Source organism: Homo sapiens, chromosome 11, assembly GCF_000001405.40.
Source record: "Homo sapiens chromosome 11, GRCh38.p14 Primary Assembly".
NCBI classification, from domain to species: domain Eukaryota; kingdom Metazoa; phylum Chordata; class Mammalia; order Primates; family Hominidae; genus Homo; species Homo sapiens.
In genome coordinates, this window is record NC_000011.10 from 110,127,130 (window position 1) to 110,150,698 (window position 23,569).

Sequence of the window (23,569 nt, forward strand, 5' to 3'; positions counted from 1 at the left end):
TTTCAACAGTACTTTCTGGAATGGGCATGTCTCAGATGTTTATCAGGTTCTTGATACATTTGACCCTACGACTTTCTGTTAACCAGTGCTCCCTATATCTACAGCAATTTATTTGTCTTTAATTCATACAGGCAATATTCTTAGCATTGTTTTGTGGTTTAAAGTTAGTCTTTAACACTTTTCAAATAGCACTCAGAAGAGTAGCTTTCTACAAGAGAGCTCATGGCCTGTCTGACTTCCTAAATATAATAACTCATAGATACTAGAGTTAATGCCTATTTGATTTTTTACTCTATTCTTTTACACTATGTGTGTGAATTAGCTTTTGTTGTTGTTGGTGGTGGTGGTTGCTTCTTTTTTTAACACTCAAAAATAATAGTTTTTGGTTAAAATTTTAATTTCAACGTTTTGGGGACAGTTGGGAAAATCTGATATAATAATCTTACTTCCATGGTGTTATCATTAGGATCAAAAGAAATTATAGGCTGGGTGTGGTGGCTCATGCCTGTAATTCAAGCACTTTGGGAGGCAGAGGTGGGCAGATCACATGAGGCCAGGAGATTGAGACCAGCCTGGGCAACATGGTGAAACCCCATCTCTACTAAAAAATACAAAAATTAGCTGGGCGTGGTGGCTGGGGCTTGTAGTCCCAGCTACTTCGGAGGCAGAAGCTTGAGAATCCCTTGAAGCTGGGAGGTGGAGGTTGCACTAAGCTGAGATTGTGCCACTGTACTCCAGCCTGGACAACACAGTGAGACTTACTCTCAAAAAAAAAAAAAAAGAGATTACATATTAAAGAGAGTGGTCCCAGGAAGTGAACTCAGATCACTGCTGGCAAAGATAATTGATGCCATACCCCCACATCAAAGCTTACTTGTTTCACATTCATACGTCAGAAAAAGTACAAGCCCCTCTCAAATGGTTCAAGTTTCAAATATTAGACCCACCCATGGCAAAGACAGATTTTAGTATAATACTCCTAAAACTACACTGTCTTTTTTTTTTTTCTGTCATAAGTGTGCATTGTGCTCAGTCATTTATTTCAGTGACCCAAACAGAGCCCAGTCCAGCTGTTTGTATTTTCCCTGCAGTGGGAAGTGGACTAGGGCCATGTGACTAAGAAAGCCAGCCTGGGGGCTGTCTTTTCACCTACAGATGTTTTAATGTGCTTAACATTATCCAATACTAGCAACCGAGATAGTCTAAATACCACAGCAGGATCTGATTAGCTTTTTCAGATCACTGCCTTTATTTGCTGTTTGCAAAAAAGCTTAATCCAGTGCTAGAGATCAGGCTTCCTGCTGAGCCCTGGGGTAGTTTCTCTCATTCTTTGTGTTCACAGTGGCAGGCGTTAGTGAGCAGATTCCTCCTCCTCCTAAATTAAAGCTGTAAAGTAGTAACTGTAGTAGCAAGGGATAAAGAGAAGGAAGAAAACCCAAGGGAAAAAAGAAGACTGTCTATTCATACCAAGTAGTTTCCTTGATATACACAAAAGAAAGAGTTTCTAATATGAATTCATAAATACTGACCTCAGTGTCTCTTCTACTCAGTGCACAGCTATTAAGTTTTATTAGGTTTCAGTTGTAACTACTTTGTGTGGATATATGTTACGTTTTTCATATTTATCCTACTCAATCAATCTCAGTTTTACCAGAAGAATTACATTTATTAGCCATAACAGTGGCCCTTCTCTTATTCTTTTCAGGGCTGATATCTTTTTTATTCATGAGATTTCAAAAAGAACTATCACCACCACTAACAAAAAAAAAAAAAAAAAAAAAAGAGATAAAGTCTTTCTTCATTTCTGGGACATCCATTTGCTTACCCAATATGTGACATTTGAATTCTGTGTAATTTACATTGTAATTTGCAATAAGCGAGAATACTAGAGATGCTTTATCTTGATCTTTGATGGGTTTATGAAATGAGACCATCGCCTTAACTATTTCAGTAATATTGCTATAACCCTTAGCAGAAGAAAGAATAGGTCTTACTTTAGAAATTAGTTTGTCATTCAGAACCTAGTAATTATATTTAGTTCAAAAATATTTTCACTGATTTTTAAATTTCCTACCATTTTTAGAATGGCATACATCAATAAAATATTGGAACTCTCTTGAGGAAATATCTGTAAACAAATGATGATCTGTAATATGGTACTTTATCTTTTAGTTTTCTTTCTGGAAACAATAATAATTTTCAGTTTTTAGTAGGCAGAAGGAGTGTTTTCAGTGCGATAACTGAAACATCTTAACCATGTAGATCTTCTTATTTTGTAAATAGAGACGATCTCATTTGCATTTGAGTAGGCACAATAAGGACAAGGCCAGGAGTCCCAAACTAGTGTTACTTTTTTCCAACTATTCACAAATGATCCTAATTGTGTGTAGCTTCTGTATTTGTGTATAAAAGGAGATTGATTTTGATTGTTTTGGGTACTTTTTATATCTTTAGAATTCATGATCATATAATGAAAAAGTCTAGGCTCTGCATAAATCAGCCTATAGCAGAAAATTGTATGTAAAGAGCAGTTCTTTGCCTTCACTGTTTTAATTTGCACTGGAATGAAAAGGGAATGTGCGTGCTTGTGTTCTACATCACGTAAGTAAATAGTAGAACAGCTATAGATTTCCTTTTTCTTTAGTAGGGAAATATCCTTACAATGCCTTATAGTATTTACATTTTGATTGATTTTTTTTTTTGTTCATAATCAGAGGCCACTCCAAGTATAACTTACGCAGCCCACAAAAGCAAGTAGTACATAGTATTATACATATTGCAGCCTGAAACTTTGAAATAAATCTGGGATAACAAGTTTACTCACGAAAGGGGCTTATTTTTATATACTTTATACACTACAAAAAATCATAGTATTTATAATGTTAACTTGTTCCTGAGCTGAAATTTGAGTATTACATCTTACAAATTTTATGAAATACAAATACTTTTAAACAGTTATGTTGTATATTAAAATATAATGAAAGACTTTGCTTCTCTTTAATTACGTGGTTAACTAGTATCCATAGTAAAAAAAATTTTACACTGCTATTGGCATACATAGGATAGGTTATTCTGATGATTTTAAGTTGAAGTTAAATAATTCTGTCTAAATCTACAGTTTAGGTAACTCATTTGGCACAAAGTTAGACAGAACTTTTGTTTTATCTACACTTTCAGTGAATTTTTAAAAATCAGTTCTATTTGTGATCTCTTAAGTCTTTTTCTTTTGCAATTGTATTTTCATCATCTCTTCTTTTTGTTTTCTTGTCTTGCAACAAATTAACAAATACTTAAAACTACACATTTTCCACTATTTCCAGGGAAATAGTTTGACTATACCCTTCTGTCTCATTTCACCAGTAACTCATTTATTAAAGACAGGGATTACTGCAATAGTTAATTGCTACTTTGACACACTTCATTTTCTTTAATAAAAATGAAAAGCTAATAGACTACAGTATAGCCTCAACTTTTTGGAAACATGCAACTTTTACTACTTTAAAATATAATTGGTTTCTTTGTTTCGTGCATTAAAAACAAGGAGGAAAAACTGAAGTCTGCCCAAGCCAGGTGTTTCTTGTTGGCAGCCTGCTCTCTAATGACTCCGCTCTCATAGAGCAGCTGCCTACTAGTCAGCTTTGTATGGCCTATTGTTGCTGCACACCCCTCGTTAATACACATGCTGCCCGGGGCAGACCCTGCGAATGACATCAGCTTGCTTATCTTAGAAACCTACGAACCTGACGCAGGGTGCTGAGGTTGTCTTGCATCTGCCCGGCCAACTAATTGTGAGCTTTCTGGCCTATGATTGGCTGTTATTCCACTCGGTAATAGGTTAAGCAAAGACATTACCATTCCATCTGTTCAACCATTCATTGTTCTTCTTGCCTGCCTGGAAGTCTGCAGCTAAAATTGTGTTAAGGAGTTTACTGCTGAAGCTGCTACAGAAACCAATGTCTTTGTATTTTCCTGCTAACGTGAGTATTTGTGCTACTTTAATGCCTTGGAAGTTAAACTTTGCTAAATATTCAGAGTATTAATTTGAACTCTGTAAAAGAAATCACCTCCAATGAAAGTCTACAAATTATTACATAGTGCCAACATACCAGAAAATTAAGTTATTTTTGTGAAATATGTCTGCGAAGCAGATTTTTACACTTTTCTAGTCTAGAGTTATATAAATAATTACTTAGAGCTTCATGAACATTTATAAGGCATTAGGCATGGCGTATAATCATTTGGAACTTAAAGTCAAGTTATAATAAATGTTCCGATATTTTTGATAAATGGTGGATTTAAATCTTACCTTGTCAAAGTCTTAAGTTTCTTAAGATGTCACTGTCGTACCCAGGTGCTATAAAATGATAAGATTTGATAGAGCTTTCTGTTGTCTTAAAAGTCTAGCTTGGGGAGATGGATTGATGTAGGTAGATGTCTCAACTTGTTTTAGATGCGATGATTAAGCATTCAGTTGCTTTGTCAGCAATCTCAGTATTCATGTACAGCTTCTGATTTCTTCACTCTCACCTTTCTTCTCCCTTACATTAGTTTCAGACATTAGATGGAAGATGTCATTCCAAGAACTATTTTCTTCAAGAGTTCTGTAAAGGGGAAGGGAGGAAGAAACAAAGACGTGCATCTATCAGTTGGGAGGGAAAGAAAGAGCATAAAGGGTTAAAAAGAGGTTTTCATTTCTACCACATGCCCTATTGTGCGAACATATGCATAAGTCTATTGAAAGTTTTCCGAAGATGGGCAGGCCACCAGTTGCTGGTCTCCTGCAGTTCCAGTAGACATCTGTTGCCCCAGAGCATTAACCAATCTGTTCAAAGGGACATCCCTCCTTTGTTAGCTAGAGGGATGCAGACAACAGCACTCACTCAAATACAATGGTAATTAAATACACAGAGACTGCAGCAGTAGGTATTTATTACATATTCATTATTTTATTTTTATTGTTCTCATAGTATTACCATTTGGATAACAACCAGAACCCACTTTTATGGCATTGTAACTTTACATTACAAACAAATAAGTCGGCTTAACAAGTTTATGGTCTAATATTCCTGATTAATATGAGGCTCTTTAGAATAGAAAAAAGATTTTTTTTTTTAATCTGATTTGAGACGAAGAATTATCCAAGTTAACTAATGAGAACTTTCAGAAAATTTGGTCACTCGATGGAGGAATTTCAGTGTGTGCAATAAATTTCTAGTGAATAGCCATTATGTTGTAAACCTGCATTCAGCTAGTACAAAGTTTCTTTTTGATAATTAAAAGAATTAGCTACACTTCATCATCATCTACAAAATTAGCATGAACATTTAGTTCTTTTTCAACAAATAATATTATTTAATTTTCAACTTGCCTTCTAGCAAGAAAAATTGAGTTTCCAATACAGTATCTGGAAGGAATTTATAGATTTATAATTATAGAAATCTTCACAAATCACTATATATTTGCCCAGTTCCTTTTGTGTTCAAGAATATAGTGTCTTTAGGTCAATTACAGTGGAGCCCTGATAATACAGTTTAAAAATTAGCTGCATTTCTTGGAGTTTTTTGATAACTATGGGAGTAAAAACTGACCTACTTTGTGAAACTTGGACTATGCTGCTTCATGAAATGAGCAAAATTACCCTTATCAGTTAATATTTCATTGATTAATTTAAGATGGTTTATATGAGTTTACGTTTTAGTAAATGCAAACTTAAAAGTCTAATAATTTTTTAAGAAATGAAAAGTATTTTCTACTTTACATGTAATAATACATTTTGTGTTGTTAATGGTCTTTTCCGTTCTTTTAAAAGTTATATTAATCATTTTTAAAGAACTGAACGAAAATAAAGATTATATACCATTCTTTCTTCTTAAGTTTCTCATAGTAATTTCTTGTAAGTTTTACATATTTCATTATATTAACAAATACTGCAGCCTATTTAAATACCTTGTTTTTAAATCTTTATCATGTAGCTTTTCATTGAATGATTTCAAGATATTGCCAAATTCTGGGTTGTTTTTAGGTGCCCTATTAAGTAAGGGCAATCGTTTGCTAATTACAAGTGGGTGAGGAAGCATTCTAGAGATCAAAGTTTTAAAAACCAAATCTTTACCATTTGGATCAATACAAATCAGGTTATTTCAAATTTGTAGTATGTTTATAGGCATAGAAATTGAACTCATTTGTCCCTATTTGTACTGTTTCTGTTTAGCCTCTTGTTTTGCAAGGACTAAAAATCATTTAACTGCTTGTTTAGTACACGATGACATTGGATAACCTTCTCTGAGCTAACCAATGAAATCTAGAAGATGAAGAGAGGCCTGTCAGTGTGAAAAAAGTTCAACCAGAATATTTTAAGACAAAACTTATTTGCCTAAAAAAACTGGATGTTAATTTCTTTTTAAGTAGGTTAGGCTTACATTTATCCTTAGCATTAAAAAGTCAACCTAATTATTGTAAACTTTTTACTTAAAATTGTGTGCAAATTACATAAATTATCACTTTAAAAATATGTGGTAGTCACTAAATACATTGGTATACAAATGAGGTTTGTGTGATTTAGTTATTAAAAAAAACTGAAAATCCTATTTTCCGCCTTGTATCATGATAGCCATATAATAAAATTACATGGTATAGTAGGTTTAGGTAGTATCACTGACACTTTTTTAAAACATTAGATAGAAGATATAGAAAGATTTAAATACCTTTTAAAGTGATTGATTTTCAGTTTAAAAACTTTGCAGTATCTGATTTTGTTACTTTGAAAAATGTGAAAATAATTTCACTTATCCTTTAAGCAGAACATTTTGTTCTAATATTTGTCACTAGTTGTATTTTTCATAAGGTATTCATCTTGTCTGGTGTAAAAGAAAAACAAAAACAAAAGCAAGCCCCAAACTGCTCAATATTAAATAATATTTCCTAGGTCAATTCAGGGATTTGGTCAGCAAGTCATTATCTTGAAGAATTATCTCACAACAGCACTTATACAAAACCCAAACTTTTCAGGGGAGATCAAAAATGTTGCCCATTAAATGCACTTCCTGCAGTCAGAGCAGATTGTGGGGTTTATAGAACAATGATGTCGGAGCTTCCAGATTGGTTTGGCAGCTGCATTGTTCTCGGAGGGTAAACCAGACGCACTTAAGTCCCAGTCTCTTTTATAGGCTTTTGTTCATACCAAATTATTCTTTCACTGTGCTAGCATTCATGATGGCATGTTAAAGGCGTGCAGCTTAGCAACCAGCTTCTGGTTGCCAAGCAGCCCAGCTTCCAATAGGTTTTCCTCGTTTAAGATACTTTTGGTGGGAGCGCCATGAAGGCCATGGTGTGGACTTTTCTTAACTGTATCCCTTTATTAGGATGCTGCTGTGATTTTGTTACTTGCATTATGGTGTTAGTATATTACAGTAGTTAATAAATCACAGGGTGTAAAAATCTGTTTTTAAAATTCCTTCCTTCAATTCTAAGTAATTGGGCTCATGCATATCTATATTAATAGGAAAAAATTGAAGTGGATACAACTTCATAATGAAGCAGATGTATACAGAGCTCTCCTAAGGGATATTTCTTTTTATGAGTTGCCAATCCAGAGCTAGGGGAATTGATGTTTCTTTAAAACTAATGAATCCTGTATTAGTAGAACAATGATATTAAAGTTGTCTATCTTCTCAGGGAATAGGCCCTGAGGAAACTCCTGTAGAAGTGTGTAGGAGTTCTACACTGAAGGAATGTTAAGTGTATTATCAAGCTGAAGATTCCATGTTCTCTTCTCTAGTATTTACCATAGTTAATAAAATGTATTTCATTACTTGACTCTCTAATTAAAGTTTACCAGGTATGCTTTCAAATTTGTGACTTCTCAGAAAATCACTTAGCATTTTCTTTTAACATTTATATAATAGCTATTTTCTAGTGTAAATATGATGTTGAAGAGCTTTAGAAACATTTTCTCAGTTTTCTTTTTCAGGTTAGTTTTAAATAGGTGTTTTTATGGCAGTCTGAAATTCAACTATCGCTGGCTTGCTAATGCTGTATCTGCGTAGAATACCAGAATTGCCTTAACAAGTAAATCATGAGGCCAGGCGTGGTGGCTCACACCTGTAATCCCAGCATTTTGGGAGGCCAAGGCGGGCAGATCACTTGAGGTCAGGAGTTTGAGACCAGCATGGCCAACGTGGCGAAACTTTGTCTCTACTAAAAATATAAAAATTAGCCGAGCATGGTGGCACTCACCTGTAATCCCAGCTACTCAGGAGGCTGAGGCAGGAGAATCACTTGAATATGGGAGGCAGAGTTTGTAGTGAACTGAGATTACACCGCTGCACTCCAGCCTGGGCAACAGAGTGAGACTCCCGTCTCAAAAAAAAAAAAAAAAAAAAAGTAAATCCTTGATGTGGATATAGTTCTTACAATGAAGCACCAGAGAAAATAGCTTTATTTTCCTAACCCATTCCTAGTAGAGAAATAACATTTCCAATAGTCTTTAAGGAAAAATAGTAAAATGGCAAAAAACAAACCAATTTTAAATAGTAAAAGTATTCTTATATGGTGAAAAATAGGAAAAAAGATCACTTTTTAACCAAATGCAGATTAATGGCTAGTTAATCTGACATAATACAGGAGGATTTTCTGCCATAAAATTCAAGAAACTGAGATAACATTATCTAATATGCCTAATTGTTTGCTGCTAATTTTATGTGAGATATCATCTCTGCTTTCCGTAAGTGCAGATAGAATAAAACTTTTACCTTTTCCTGGAATGAAATAGACTGTTGTTTCCCTGGCACTTAATAAGGATAGCATAATGCTAGAAATTATATTGTGTTACTATGTTCCATAGTCAAAAAATCATGATTACTAGGGCAAAACCCTGTTCATCTCTTAAGAAGAATTTAACTCACTTTGTAATTATTTAATTCCCTTCTGTCTATCTTAGAATATGTGCTCTTTCATTGCAGTATCTATGTTATTTTTGAAAGTTCTTTAGATTGCTGTTAAGCTTCATCCAGATTAATAATGATTTTTCAAGTATAAGTTAATGGTTTCTTTCTATGTGGCTTTCTTTTTAAAAGAATATTTATAGATACTTATGAATTCTGTTAGAGAAAAATGTAAATTTTAACCTGTCATGCATATTAAAAACATACTTTTTGATGATATTCTATGTGTCACTCTAGAATTATAAGCCGTCCTAAAAGTAGAAAAATCTGATCCATCGAGATTGAGAAGGAGCATGATATAGTGGGAAAAGCATGGGTTTTAGAATCAGACGAAACTGGGTAAAAAAATACAGTTCTACTACTTATTTACTTTGTTGCCTTGGAGGAATTACATGGCCTTTCTAATTTATGACTTCTTCATCTGAAAAATGGCAGATGATACTCTCTTGGCAAGGGTGTTAGGAGGGAGGAGAGGATGTAGACAAAATACAAAGTATTTTGAGTAGTTGAGTAATTCTCTTCTGACTTCTCCATTGAGACAGAAATCTAGCCATAACTATGAAATTCTAAATATTTTACATTTTTCTCTAGGAATACGGGGTGCTTTGCATTCAGGAATACAGAAAAAACAGCAAAGTGGAGTCAAGTACACGTAACAACTTCATGGGCTTGAAGGATCACCTAGGGCATGACCTCGGCCACCTTTATGTGGAGAGCACTGACCCACAGTTAAGTCCAGCTGTACCTTGGTCAACAGTAGAAAACCCAAGTATGGATACCGTTAATGTGGGGAAGGATGAAAAAGAGGCGTCTGAAGAGAATGCAAGCTCTGGTGACTCTGAAGAAAACACAAATTCTGATCATGAGTCAGAACAATTGGGTAGCATTTCAGTAGAGCCAGGCTTGATAACTAAGACTCACAGACAGCTCTGCAGGTCTCCCTGTTTAGAGCCTCACATACTCAAGCGCAATGAAATTTTGCAAGACTTTAAACCTGAAGAGTCCCAGACTACATCCAAGGAAGCAAAGAAACCACCTGATGTGGTGCGAGAATACCAAACAAAACTGGAGTTTGCACTTAAGTTAGGTTATTCTGAAGAACAGGTTCAGCTTGTACTAAACAAACTTGGTACTGATGCTTTAATCAATGATATTTTGGGAGAACTTGTCAAACTTGGAAATAAAAGTGAGGCTGATCAAACGGTTAGTACAATTAACACTATAACACGGGAAACTTCTTCCCTGGAATCTCAGAGGTCTGAATCTCCAATGCAAGAGATTGTAACAGATGATGGTGAAAATCTGAGACCAATAGTTATTGATGGCAGCAATGTGGCAATGAGGTAAGTGGAAAAATCGTTACTGAAAATTACTACCAAATAATCTTTAAAAGCCTTATTTCTAATTTTGTGGCTCTTTTCCTTCTCATGGTCATTAAAGTCAACATTTTTCTGTATCCTGATGTTAACATTAGAAAACATTAGTTTTCCGTCTCTCTTCTTTCAGGGCACTCAGCCATCTTTACTTCATTTATCCCCGTATAGAGACCCATTTTTCTCAGATATGTCTCTTTTTGTCCTCATCTGGCTAAATTTCTATGGTATAAAAATTAGTGTGTGTTTCTGGTTTACTATTAATCAGTAGTTTTAAATGAATAATTTGATATGATAATATTCAACAATTTTAGAATCTAGTCAAATGGTCTATTTCTTTAGGAAGTTAAATAACCCTAATTCTTCTAGAAAATAAACTATGTATTTTATTGATTTGAGAAAAAACCAAAGCTGTAGTTTGAATTGTTTTGTAATTTGAGTTGTTTTCATTTAAGAAATTCAAATCAGAAATAATTCTTAAGGAACTGGGGGGAAAAAAAAGCAAAACTTTCAGTGATAATTTTTTTGGCTAGGCAGGGTGTCTCACACTTGTAATCCCAACACTTCGAGAGGTCAAGATGGAAGGATCATTTGAGGCCAGGAGTTTGAGACCAGCCTGAGCAACATAGGGAAACACCTCTACCTATAGCAAAATATATATATATATTTAAAATAAAATTTTAAAAGAAATTTTTTTGTGTGATTTTGATGGCTCAATATTTAAAGCACATCTAAATTCAATCAGCTTATGGGTAACTGCTCACAATTTCAGAGCGCTGTGAAGATAAAAAGATATGTGTATAAAAGCATCAGTTCTTCCTCTGGAGAGCTTAGAGTTTCATATGCAGTTTCTCAGAAGGTGATCTGATGATGCCTACCAGAGAATCATCTGAGGGACTTATGGAAAATGCAGATTCTATATCAGTGCTGTCCAAGGGAAATACAATGCAAACCATGTATGTCATATTAAATTTTCTAGTACCTACATCAAAAAGTAAAAAGAAACAGGTAAAATTAATGTGACTAATGTATTTTGTTTAGGCTAACATGTCTAAAATATCTTGCCGACATGTAATCAATTTTAAAAAGTTATTAATGAGATAGTTTACATTATTCTTTTTTTTTTTTTTTAAGACAACGTCTTACCCTGTCACCCAGACTGGAGTGCAGTGGCACCATCTTGGCTCACTGCAACCTCCGCCCCCAGGTTCAAGCGATTCTTGTGCCTCAGCCTCCCTGAGTAGCTGGGACTCCAGGCACATGCCACCGTGCCTGGCTAATTTTTGTATTTTTTAGTAGAGCCTGGGTTTTACCATGTTGGCCAGGCTGGTTTCAAACTCTTGACCTCAAGTGATCTGCCTGCCTCGGCACCCCAAAGTGCTGGGATTACAGGCATGAGCCACCACTCCTGGCCTGCATTATTCTTTTGATTTTAAGTCTTTGAAATCTGGTGTATATCTTATAGCACATCTCAATTTAGAATAGCCATATTTCAGGTGCTCAGTATCCTGATGTGGCTATTGACTACTATATTGGACAATGCACTTCTAGAGCCCCATGCAGACCTACCAAGTCAAGTTCAAAGTGTAACTCAGGCATCACTTTGTAAGTAGTGTGCCTTCCATTAATGATGTATGCTGAAATTAGGGAACTACTGTTTTCTGTAGGTGACAGCAAGTTCTTTGACATAGACTATGAGGAGAACCAACCTAATCCTCTAAATAGCTTTTTCGGGTGGAGGCAGTATTATCTTTCTTTCATTTATTAGCAAATGCAACAAGATTTGAACTACTTGCCAAGACAAAATGGAATTCAAACCCAAAAATGTCTGACCTAAAAGCCTATATTCTTCATTACATAAAAAAGAGAAAAACTAAGTTGAAAAGGTTAAAGCCAGATCTTACTAGAGAATTTAAAGCTGGCTCTGTAATCCAAGGGTAATTGAAGGGTTTTCAGTAGAGGAGTGTCAAGAGTAGAGTTGTGCCTTATACTGATCATTTTTGCAATGATGTATGGGAGGTAGGAGATCAGTTTGGATGTAAACAACCCTTTCTAATGGAGTAGAAAGAATCTCGCCAAGTGTCATAGAGGTATGGAATGCTCATAGGGCTTTGAGAAGGACTTCAGTAAGATTACCTCTTGTTTGATCTTTCCCAAACTTGACCACAAAATAATCTTTTTCTTGAATAATCCAGAATGTCTGAATGATTACCTTAGTGATATTAAGACCAAAAGCCATAAAATTGCCAAACGAGGGAATAGTGAAGGAAGGTCATAGATCCCTGAGGAATACCTACAACCATGCCTGTATACCAGAATTACCAGAGGAGTTATTTAAAAATACATTTTCTAGCATTCTACTTTTGTAGAATATAGAATTAGTCTCTATCCACATGTACCCTCTAGTTTAAATTCATATATTTTCTTTTTTTTTTTTTTTTTGAGACTGAGTCTCGCTTTGTCACTCAGGCTGGAGTGCAGTGGCATGATATATTTTCTTAAATGAATCCAATGCTTTCTAGATTTTTCCCTGGTTTTAGGTTCAGATGACTTGTCGTTAAGAAAATACAATTAAGGCCGGGCACAGTGGCTCATGCCTGTAATCCCAGCACTTTGGGAGGCCAAGGCAGGTGGATCACTTAAGGCCAGGAGTTCAAGACCAGCCTGGGCAACATGGCAAAATCCCATCTCTACTAAAAATACAAAAATGAGCTGGATATGGTGGTGCATGCCTACATGGGAGGCTGAGGTGGGAGGATGGAACGAGCCTGGAAGGTGGAGGCTGCAATGAGCTGAGATCACATCACTGCACTCCAGCCTGGGCAACAGAGACCCCATCTCAAAAATAACAACAACAACAAATTCTAGCGAGCTATCCAGAGTGGGAATGTGATAAATTGATGTTAGTCCCCTTTGGTACCTAAAAGTGTTTGAGTTCTTCAATATTCTTCCATGACCTAGTCATCTGACTTCATTAAAATTAACTAAATCTCCATATCCCATTTCAGCTTCTTCCAGATTTTATATAAAATAAGAATGATGAAAGAAAAAGCCCAGAGCTTCATGGCTACCTCCACATCATGCCATAGCACACATTCTTCTGTTGAGTGTTAGAATGGAAGCTGGCCACACCAGTCTTGTGTTTTTGATATGAACAGACTGTTGAAACTTTTCCCTCCTTTATCATGGCAAGTCCTACCTTTTGGGTAGTGAACCCAGGTTTCTGGGATTAGATTAAATCTCTCCCCTGACTGGTGGGTAGGCCTTATTTTTGCATGTTCGTGTGGAGTATTAAGATAAATGTTTTGTTGGCTAATAATCTCACATGAACCACTTTTGCCCATGGGATCCATGCTCGTATTTTCTCTCTGTTAGTGATACGGAGCTACTAGAAGAATTTAAGCAAGGAAAAAAGTGGCATAGTAATATTTTGCCTTTAGGAAAAATCACTCTATAGGGAAATGTAGAGAATGGATTTGAGCACTAAGATTGGAGACAAAGAGACCCACTTATGTTTGAAAATATATGCAAAAGTTAAATTGTGGACAACTCCTGGAAAAAGATGCAACAAGAATATCATTGGTTTTATATACCAATCAAATGACACAGAATAGAGAAATAAAGTAACCATTTGCTTGAGAGTTTATACTCAGCCCCGCAAAGAGTCATATTGGAAAACAGCTGGTGTTAGTACACATCTGATTGTAACTGGGGTATTAAAAAAAGCACTGCAGGTAAATCACTGAAGTAATTTTCTTAAAGTTTGAACAGAAATCAGATATAGATTATATAGAGTCAGAATATGAACAGGGAAAATGCATTAAGCTGTGATAACTTTCCTCTGTATCAAGAAAATGAACTAAGCCCATATATTTATGAAATACAAGCAGAGTTTAGCAATCTGTACAATCAGGATTTAAGCTTCTGATTAATCTTTTAAAAAGTACAAAGCCTTTCTTATATCTAATCTTTGGGAAGCTGTATGAACTTGAGAACCCTTTTTAATATAAATTTGAATACTGAAGGCTTTCTTGCCTAGGCTCTAAAATTTGCCTTCAATTGTTTGGTTGGTTTTGCTCTCCTGTTGCCTGGTTATCATTTAAGTACAGCACTGACTTATAGTTAATAAAATCATCCTGGACACCTAGTCCAAATGTATGGTTTAGACTACAAATGAGACTAAAAATTGCCGGAATTCATACAAATTTGTTTTTGGCTCTCTCAACAAAACTGTATCAAAATTACGTGCAGTAGACCTGCATGAAATGTGTCTAGCCCAAATTGAGATATGCTGTAAATATAAACTACATATCACATTTCGGAGACTTCGTACAAAAATATGTAAACTATTTGAATAACTTTTATGTTGATTGTGGATTTAAAGAATTTGATATATTGAGTTAAATGAAATACATACTAAAATTAACTTCAGCTGCTTTTTACTTTTTTAATATGGTATGCCAGATGATTTAAAACTATATATGTGACTCACATTATATTTCTATTGAATAGCCTCTCAGTAGACTGTTTTGTAAGCCCCAGTTTACTAGAAGTAACATTCATTAAAGGATAGCTTAAATTCCCTCTAGGTGAGTGTCACAGGTATTACTTCATTTGGCAGTGCCCCATTTCTCTTACTGTTTTTAAAGAAAATCCTTAGAGCCTATGAAAAGAATCAAAGAATCAGAGCTAGCTTTTTGTTATTGTTTAATTATATCATTGTGGAGCCTGACAAAGACAGATATTAGAGTTATATTCCATTGCACCTCTTTATAATTCTAAGTACATAATTCTAGTTGTCATCAATGTCATGTACTTTAATAGACCAGTCAGCAAACTTTCCTATTATCTCAAGTGTGCTTATTTAAACTCTAACCTAAAAATTGGCAACCTTAGTAATCCTATTACATAGAAATAAAGTTAATCACAGATCTTCACCTAACTAGTGTTACCAGTTATACAAAATGGGGAAAAAGTGATTAGAGTCCATGTTTTCTACTTTTGTTAATAAGACCTTTTTACATCTACTAAACAGATTTTCTTCATTATCTTTAGACTGGATCTTGACCAGCTAGATGTTGCCTCAAATTGTAGACCTTATATGGCGAAGGAAATCTTTTTTCCTTTCCTTTTTCCTTGGCCCTTTCAATTCTCAAAGCTACCCCTCTCAACTGTACTGCTGTTGAGCTCATAACCAACTGAAGGGTAATAATTACTGCATAATGGACTTCCATAGTAATTTTGGTGTTAAATATTTTTGTTGTCCTAAATCGATGACTTCCAGGCTTCTATTTTCCTTTAAAGCAGTACAATCCTGCAGATCTCTTCATGGAAGCCCAATATTTAAAATCAAGCAATAGCAGAGTTCTGTTTGAATTGGGAAGGATGTACAGGGTTGTGTTCCCACTTAAAAATTCCCTTCTCTACTCCCCAGAAGGTCCTGCCATGCCATGGAATTTCTGTTTGGAACACAGCTTGATAAGCATTGATTTAAATGATCTATAACAAGGGACATGGATTTAGTTTTCTGGTGGTATGTTTAGTATTTAGCATCCTGTGAATGAGATTTAGCTTCAGAATGATTTTGGTATATTGGAAAAGAGATCAGAGACAATAACGTTGAGTAGCTATAAGAATAACAAAATAGGCATGCATAAATAGTTATGAGCCTTCAATACAAAAGAAAAAACTCCAGATCCCCATGAGATGAATTATAGATTCTCAAATAAATATGAAATTTAATTGGACTACAATGAGAGAAAGTAAAATATCCTGTTTCTACGTTTCTGTATTTTCCTATTGAAGATGAGAGGCAGCTGCACTTCTTCCCCCTGCTTAAGGACTACGGAATAGATGTAAGAGAATTTAACAATCATTAAACATTGAAAAATATATCAGTGAAGAAGGTCTTAAAGTCATTTTTTTTAGAGTCCTTTAAAATTAAAATCTATTTTCATGTGTCCAAGATGGTTTATGTATAATCAGGCCTAAAATATGAGAAAAAAATAAAATTAATTCACCAAATATTTGAAGAGTACCTGGACTTTATATTAATAATTTAATGTTCTATAAATATTTATTAATATTATAATTATTCTGTGATTAAAATCTACTATACTCTTTCTCTAATATAATTAACTATATCTAAACTGGAAGGATTTTGATACTAAAGATTCAAGTATGATTTTCTAGTTTAAAAAGATTATTTTTAAAAACACACACACGTATATGTATTTGTATATGTGTATGTGTATATATGTATAAAGACGGGGTCTTGCTATGTTGTCCAGGCTGGTTGAACTCCTGGGCTCAAGCAGTCCTCCCACCTAAGCCTCCCACAAGTGCCAGGATTACAGGCGTGAGCCACCGTGCCCAGCCTAAAAAGATACCTTTATATTTCCATTCTAGCCACTTCATTGACAAACCCTGCTAACTTGTGTCCTTATCACGATAGGTAGGTTAATCTAATTACCCATTAAAGTAATAGAAGTTTTATAATCATACTTATTTTTCTAGTGGAGGGTATCTTATGCAAGTACATCTTAGAATATAGCAAACTTACAGGTCAAGTTTTTAATTTAAATAAAAGATGATATATAGAAGGTTATAGAAAATCAGTGCATGTCCTTTTGAATCCCATAATTACCTTGATCTTTTGTTTGGTTTCTTTTTAAAACACTGTTTAGTGATCTCTACACATCATGCATTTTGCTCTAAAAGTCATAGTTTAGTATTGTGAGATTAAAGCTATTAAATAAAGATGTATTTTATTGGTTTCATTTTGATTCCAAAACAAGCTTTTTTCCATTTTCTAAATATTAAGACTGAGAGGACATGAGAAAGTAAAGACACTAGCATGTGTCGAAGACTTCGATATGCCACGCACTTGGCTAGGTTTATTACCTTATTCAGTTCTCACAACGCTATGAGGTAGGTGAGGTTATTTTCATTTTAAAGATGAGAAATTGAGATTCAGAATAAGAATCCCAAGCTCACACAGAAAAGTGGTAAAGAAAAAATTTAAACTCCTGTCAAATTCCAGAGGCTATGTTATTTTCGGTATCTTCAAGAGCCATCTCTATTTGGAGTACTGAAATGTGCCATTCTAGGTACTTTGTATCATTAGATTTTAGATGATTTGTGAAAAAGACTTTTTAAGAATAGGTCTTCTTTGATCATGTAAATAATATACGTATTATATAAGTTTTAGAAATAAAGATCACCTGTAATTTCCAAGGTTTTTAACAAGCATTATATAATATGCAAATTGTAGTAAAATCAAATTTGAGGAAATAAAAAGATAACTGAAAAGAGGTTCCTTTGTTCTTTTCTTCACTGCCATATAAAGTATTAAAAAGAGGCAGTCTCTTTTTATAGATGCCTTCATTCTCTTTTTAGGTTTTTCCATGTTTTTCAATTACTCCCCGTGTCTATCATTGGAAGGTAACAGTTATAATTCTAAAATAACCCTTCCTGTTCTGTGGTTAACCTAGTTAATGGTATCTGTATATATACCTAAAGAAAACATTAATATGTAACATTATGGTTTTTTAGATATGGCAGATCTAAAAGTGGTTGTCCCATCATCTTCCCTTCTAGGCCCCAGACTGAGGCACATTGCATTACAATATGTGGTCCCTTGAATTTTTCTCTGCATTACAAAACCCACCTCTATTATCTATTAACCATTGTAGGTGGCTAATATAGTGCCATTAATAAACAAGCATAATTCTCCGGTGGCAATTCATATGGTGTAATAGGATACAAGAAATTATTTTGACTTCTTAGGCCCTTCTCTTGAGGGCAGAAAAGTAGAATTTATGTGCTTTTCCAGTATATTAGTCTTGAGTAAAGATAATCTTATTAGAGCTATGAGACAAAGTGAATTTACAGAAAAATGAAAAATTATAATAGTGAAAGCCTTATGAAGAATATGTTTGTTAAGATAATTTAAGTTCATTTAGCTCTCCTAATTTCCAGTTGTCTAGTTCATAAGGCGTTCCTTTTACCTGAAACTGAGTAGGCATTTTTGGATAGAGGTAATGAGGTTTCAATTAACCCAATCCAAAGCGTAGTAGTCCTTTTCAGAGCTTGGTCTACAGATTAATTTCATCTTATTATCCAATATGAGCTCTACAACAAATTACAGAAATTGGGGGCGGGGGGGAGTTGCAGTGACTCTAGTAAATCAGCATCTCATATCCTATGTGGTATTTTAGCTGCCACTGATGTTAGGATGCCTCTCTTCTTCAAAATGTGGCCCATAGCATGGAAGATCCCCAGCACATACTTTCTCTTGATATAAACAAGCACATACTCACCAGCTCAAGTGCCCTGTCTCCTAGAATCTTCCAAATACCCAGCGTACAGAATATGATGGCTCTTAGGTTACACAGCAGGTCCCTTCACAACAAATTAACAGCAGTAAGAAACAAGAGAGAGGCATGTTCTTCGAACACAGGACCTATTGGCTCGGGAATCTCAGACGAAAAAGAAAAGGTAGAAGACGGTTGAGAGAAACCCATAACTTGTTGGTTTAGTTTAGTTTTGTTTTGTTTTTGAGACGGAGTCTTGCTCTGTCGCCCAGGCTGGAGTGCTGTGGCGCGATCTCGGCTCACTGCAAGCTCCGCCTCCCGGGTTCATGCCATTCTCCTGCCTCAGCCTCCTGAGTAGCTGGGACCACAGGTGCCCGCCACCACGCCCGGCTAATTGTTTTTGTATTTTTAGTAGAGACAGGGCTTCACCGTGTTAGCCAGGGTGGTCTTGATCTCCTGACCTCATGATCCGCCCGCCTCAGCCTCCCAAGGTGCTAGAATTACAGGCATGAGCCGTCGCGCCCGGCCCCGTAACTTGTTTTAACGGGTCAGGCTAAAACAAGAAAGATGAACAGAAACTGCAGAATTCATGGCTCTAGTCTCCACAAGACAGAGCAGGAAAAGATTAAGGCAGGAAAAACAAGCAAACAGATCAGGTTGTCCCATTTCCAGCACTGAGGCTCTCCCATTATGTCACTTTTGCTCCTAGTTGCAGCGTTATTTCCTGTCTGATTTCCCGAGGGGAGAAATCTCTGGAGGGGGTAGTAAAGCTTCATAGTTGGGTTGCATCTCTTGCATCTTCCTCAGTCTCTTCCAGCATCCCTTTTTCCAATGTCCTAGCTTCCTATAGTAGTGACCTATTGACTTTTCATTAGAGGATCTTCTCTTATTTGTTGGTAGTCCCAGAAAGGGGTTTGCTCCCCTTGTGAACAATTCCAACTGGGAAGGTAACACTGCAGTCTTAAGTTTCTTTGTCTTTATCTTTCTACATTTTTTTTTCCAAAACTGGATTGCTATTGCCAATACCTGAGAAACTTGTCTATCCTTACCATCCACATACCTTTTCTTTTACCTACGCCTGAATTCCCAGTAGCAAGGCTGCCATAAAAGTAGAGAAGAATAAGGGTCTATTCTGATCTACCTTTAAATCCATCCTTGTTAATTTAGAAAATGCCTCAGTCAGCCACTGATGAAAATCAATGGAGACTCACCCAACAGCAGCATTGCAGCTTCTCCCAGGTCACCTCGCGGTGGGTTTCTAAGGCATGAGAGGAGGTAGTCTCCTCTTGTTTGAGGAGGCAGTCAGCTTCCTGAGGCCAGGGCACTCCCTTACAAGAGGGGTTATCATTTGCCTCCACCGTGCCTGTTCCATTAGTCAAACACAGTCGGCCAGAGCAACTCCATGCAGCAGCCAGTGTGCCACAGAGCACCTCGGCAAATGTTTCCAGATCTTTTCAGAGCACTGGGAAATAACTCTTTAAGATGGGTACCATCAGCTGGGGAAAAGGTCATATGCACTCCTACCATGTCTGATGTACCTGGCAGTCCTGGATCACTTTAAAAAGGCATTTGAGTCACCGGAGCTACTAAAGGGTAGGGCTGATTTTCTTCCATTGAGATGAAAAAATAAGTTGACTCAATGAGAACACATGACTACAGGGAGGGGAATATCACACACCGGGGCCTGTCAGGGGGTCGGAGGGAAGGGGAGGGAGAGCATTAGGACAAATACCTAATGCTCGCGGGGCTTAAAACTGAGGTGATGGGTTGATAGGTGCAGCACACCACCATGGCACATGTATACCTATGTAACAAACCTGCACATTTCAGCCCATGTATCCCAGAATTTAAAGTAAAATTAAAAAAAAAAAAGAAAAGAAAAGAAACAATAAGTTGGTTTGTATGACACTGTAGTGTCAGTCTCATTTTGCTGTTTGGTATCCTTACTCCTTTTGCCTCCCCTTTCATCTAAGTTACCAACGCAACCATTTGCCAACCTAATACCTTAATTCTAGGACAGTCTGTTATCCAGGTTCTCAGACTCCTTGTTCCTTCTTCTTCATCATTTCTGCCTCCGTAGCTGTGTTTTGCATGTTCTGTTTAGGGAAGTTTTGGAGAATGGAATCCACATTAGAATATTCTAATAAGGCTAGCAATTTTCCCCCTTCCAAAGGGAAGTTATCTCCAGAACCTGTAGCCATTGGGAATCATCCATCCATCCAGAAGGTCATTGCCCCACTCTTCTAGGACCTAGATAGAGGCAAAGAAGGGCAACAAGAAGCAGAAAAAGCAGAAGGAGCAACAGCAGAAAGAGGTCAAGAACCTGGAAGAAGAGAAAGGAGCTTTCAGTTACTTTATCTCTTCCTCCAGTTTCTTAATTCATTCTTTGTGGCTGCCCACTTCATTCCTTCTTTTATTTCCTGAGATCCAGAGATACCAATAATCCCTTTGAGTGGGGTTTTTCTGAGAATTCCTGTAAATACATCAATTTGTCTACTTCAAATGAGCCTTCTTTTGACCGTTGCAAAGCAGGATTTTTATAAGTATGCTTATGCCAAATGTGAGAGAATAAAAGAAGCCTTTTATTTTTAAAAGAGAGACCTACTGACAATATTCTAGGCATCTCGTATTTTTCTACTGCTAAAGCCAGTGATGAATCAGATGGGACCTTCAATGAGTTACCCATTTTGCTCAGTTGTAACTTGGAATTTACAGAGAGGCTTTGGAATTTTCCCTGGGAACCAAATCCCACTCAGCCAAAGTAGTCAGAGGGAGACTTTTTGGCAAACATTCAGAGTTCTGACCTAATCACGGGTGACCACAAATCCTCCAACAAATTCACCCACCAAAAGGACTCACTTGAGATATACCAATCTTCCTTATTGCCAAATTGTTGGGATAAAAAAGTAATCAAGGCCCAAAGGAACATGCTAATTCATAAAAATAGAATTAACTAATTTTGTTACTGAGCAGAAAACCCCTGCATCCATGCAGATAGCCCATAAGTGGCTATAGAGCTATGGTGAATGTTCTCTATTTATAAGCAATTAAAGCTATGGTCCTTTTTTTAGTAAATAGTCAACAGATAGTTCATTTGCATCAGTAGCTACATGGCACTTACTCTGACATCCTGTTTTTCATCATTCTTTATCTGGCTCACTCTGATTTTGTAATTCTTTATCAGTACCTCCTCTAGTTGTCCCTTATATTGTATCTAGCACGTATGATGAGTCACATCCTTCATCATGCGTCAGTAAGGTTAGATTAAGTTCAGTCTCCCAAAACCTCTCCTAGTGTGACAAGTCCCATCTGCAGATTTGAGCCACCAGGTAACTGTCTGCTCAGGCTTAAGTTATTATACTATGAATGATTCTGGATCTTGATGCCTGACACAGACTTCCAAGACAACAGCAGCGATTCTAGAGATTTCTCAGTTAGCATTCATTTTGGGGCCTCATCAGGGGAATATTGGCTGGGAAAGTCCTGGTAACTCGGGGACCCACCCTGCTCATCCCCACTAACCTGCCTTTCCCTCGCCGTTTAAAAGATAAGAACAGTAGCTTGCCCCCAAGTGCCATCTAAGGCTGGGAGGAGGATGAAAGGCAGTTGCCAATTGTATTGAATCTAATTTCGAGTTCCTGTGGGGTTTTACTGTACCTGGATGCAGAGCTACTGTATTTTAGAGAAAGTACGCCTTCCGCTTTATGGAAGTATTGCCAAATTGCTCTCCCAAATAGTTATACCAATTTACACTCCCACCTGTGATGTATGAGTTCCTACTTTCACACATTCTTGGCAACATCTGGTGTTTGCAGACTTTATTTTTATCAATCTGATGGGTGTGAAGTAGTGTCTCATTTTGGCTTTAATTTGCATTTCTTTACTATTGAACATCTTTTCCTATGTTCATTGGTCATTTGAGTTTCCTCTTCTGTGAATTGATTGTTCATATCTTTTGCCTTAAAAAACAACTGGCTACCTCTTTTAATATACGAGAGTACTTTATGTTCTGAGTACTAACCTTCTGATTGGTATTATATGTTGCAAATCTCCTCTCCAAAGCTATGACCTGTTTTTTTATTATGGAGTCTTTTGTATAAAGAACTTTCATGTGCTCCAATATGTCTATTTTTCTTAATAGCATGTAGTTCTATGTCTTGTTTAAGAAGTGTTTTCTTATCCTGATGTGAATTCTCTGGTAATTTATTCTAAAACTTTTATAATTTTTCTTTTCATATTTAAATATTTGATCTATCAACAATTTATTTTTGTATATGATGTGAGATTAAAATGCAGTTTTATTTTTTCCACAGGAATAACCAGTTGCCCTAGTACCATTTGCTAAATAGTTCATCTTTTCCTCATTGATTTGTAATGTCACCTTATTGCTGGCCTTTGGTTTTTCCATGTTAATTTTAAGATTAGTTTCTCAAGTTCTGTGAAAAAAACCTTTGGAGAATTTGATTGGAATTGCAACATACAGATGAATTTGAAATCATTTGCCATCTTTATTAATCGAGTCTTACTGTCCATAAAAATAGTATATTGTTTTTTTATTTAAGTCTTACCTTATGCCCTTTAATATAGGTTTTCAATTTCATTTTATCTATAAAGCTCTTGCATGCCTTTTTTTAAAGATCTGTATGGCTTTTATTACATTACAAATTGGATCTTTTAAATTAAAATTGTAAATTGGTTTTGCTGCTATAGCAACACTAATTTTTTAACAAGGACATTATATCTGCAATGTAATAACATATTGTGGTGAAAGAGTGTATTGTATGTATGGTACAGATTCCTGATATCTGTTGAAATCTGTTCTATGACCTAGTACATAGCCAATTTATTTATAAAGTTTTCATATTTTTTGAAATAATTTTTTCTCTTTAGTTTTGTGCAAAATTTGTATATGTCCATTAGATCAAGCTTGTAATTGATT

The 23,569-nt window shown here is 35.9% G+C and overlaps 1 protein-coding gene across 2 annotated transcripts in view, besides 2 other annotated features; it reads left to right on the forward strand.

The window, feature by feature from the left end:
• The window catches only part of ZC3H12C (zinc finger CCCH-type containing 12C), a 78,450-nt gene that overhangs the window by 33,738 nt on the left and 21,143 nt on the right, over positions 1 to 23,569 (forward strand). Inside the window, exons 1-2 of one of the 2 annotated variants that reach the window (NM_001411037.1) lie at positions 3,871 to 3,977; positions 9,534 to 10,285. In NM_001411037.1, the coding sequence (NP_001397966.1) occupies positions 3,954 to 3,977; positions 9,534 to 10,285 (776 nt within the window). In that variant the 5' untranslated portion in view covers positions 3,871 to 3,953. Of the gene's footprint in view, positions 1 to 3,870; positions 3,978 to 9,533; positions 10,286 to 23,569 lie in introns of those variants that run through there. The other variant, NM_033390.2, reaches the window with a different exon arrangement.
• Positions 996 to 1,518: an enhancer, noted in NCBI's record as "OCT4-NANOG hESC enhancer chr11:109998850-109999372 (GRCh37/hg19 assembly coordinates)". NCBI's record gives its function as "activates a minimal SCP1, AML or CMV promoter by ChIP-STARR-seq in naive and primed H9 embryonic stem cells {active_cell/tissue: H9 hESC(naive and primed)}" and the evidence as "EXISTENCE:reporter gene assay evidence [ECO:0000049][PMID:30033119]".
• Positions 3,041 to 5,380: an enhancer, noted in NCBI's record as "VISTA enhancer hs1311". NCBI's record gives its function as "enhancer in: neural tube[7/7] | hindbrain (rhombencephalon)[7/7] | midbrain (mesencephalon)[7/7] | forebrain[7/7]" and the evidence as "EXISTENCE:transgenic organism evidence [ECO:0001131][PMID:17130149]".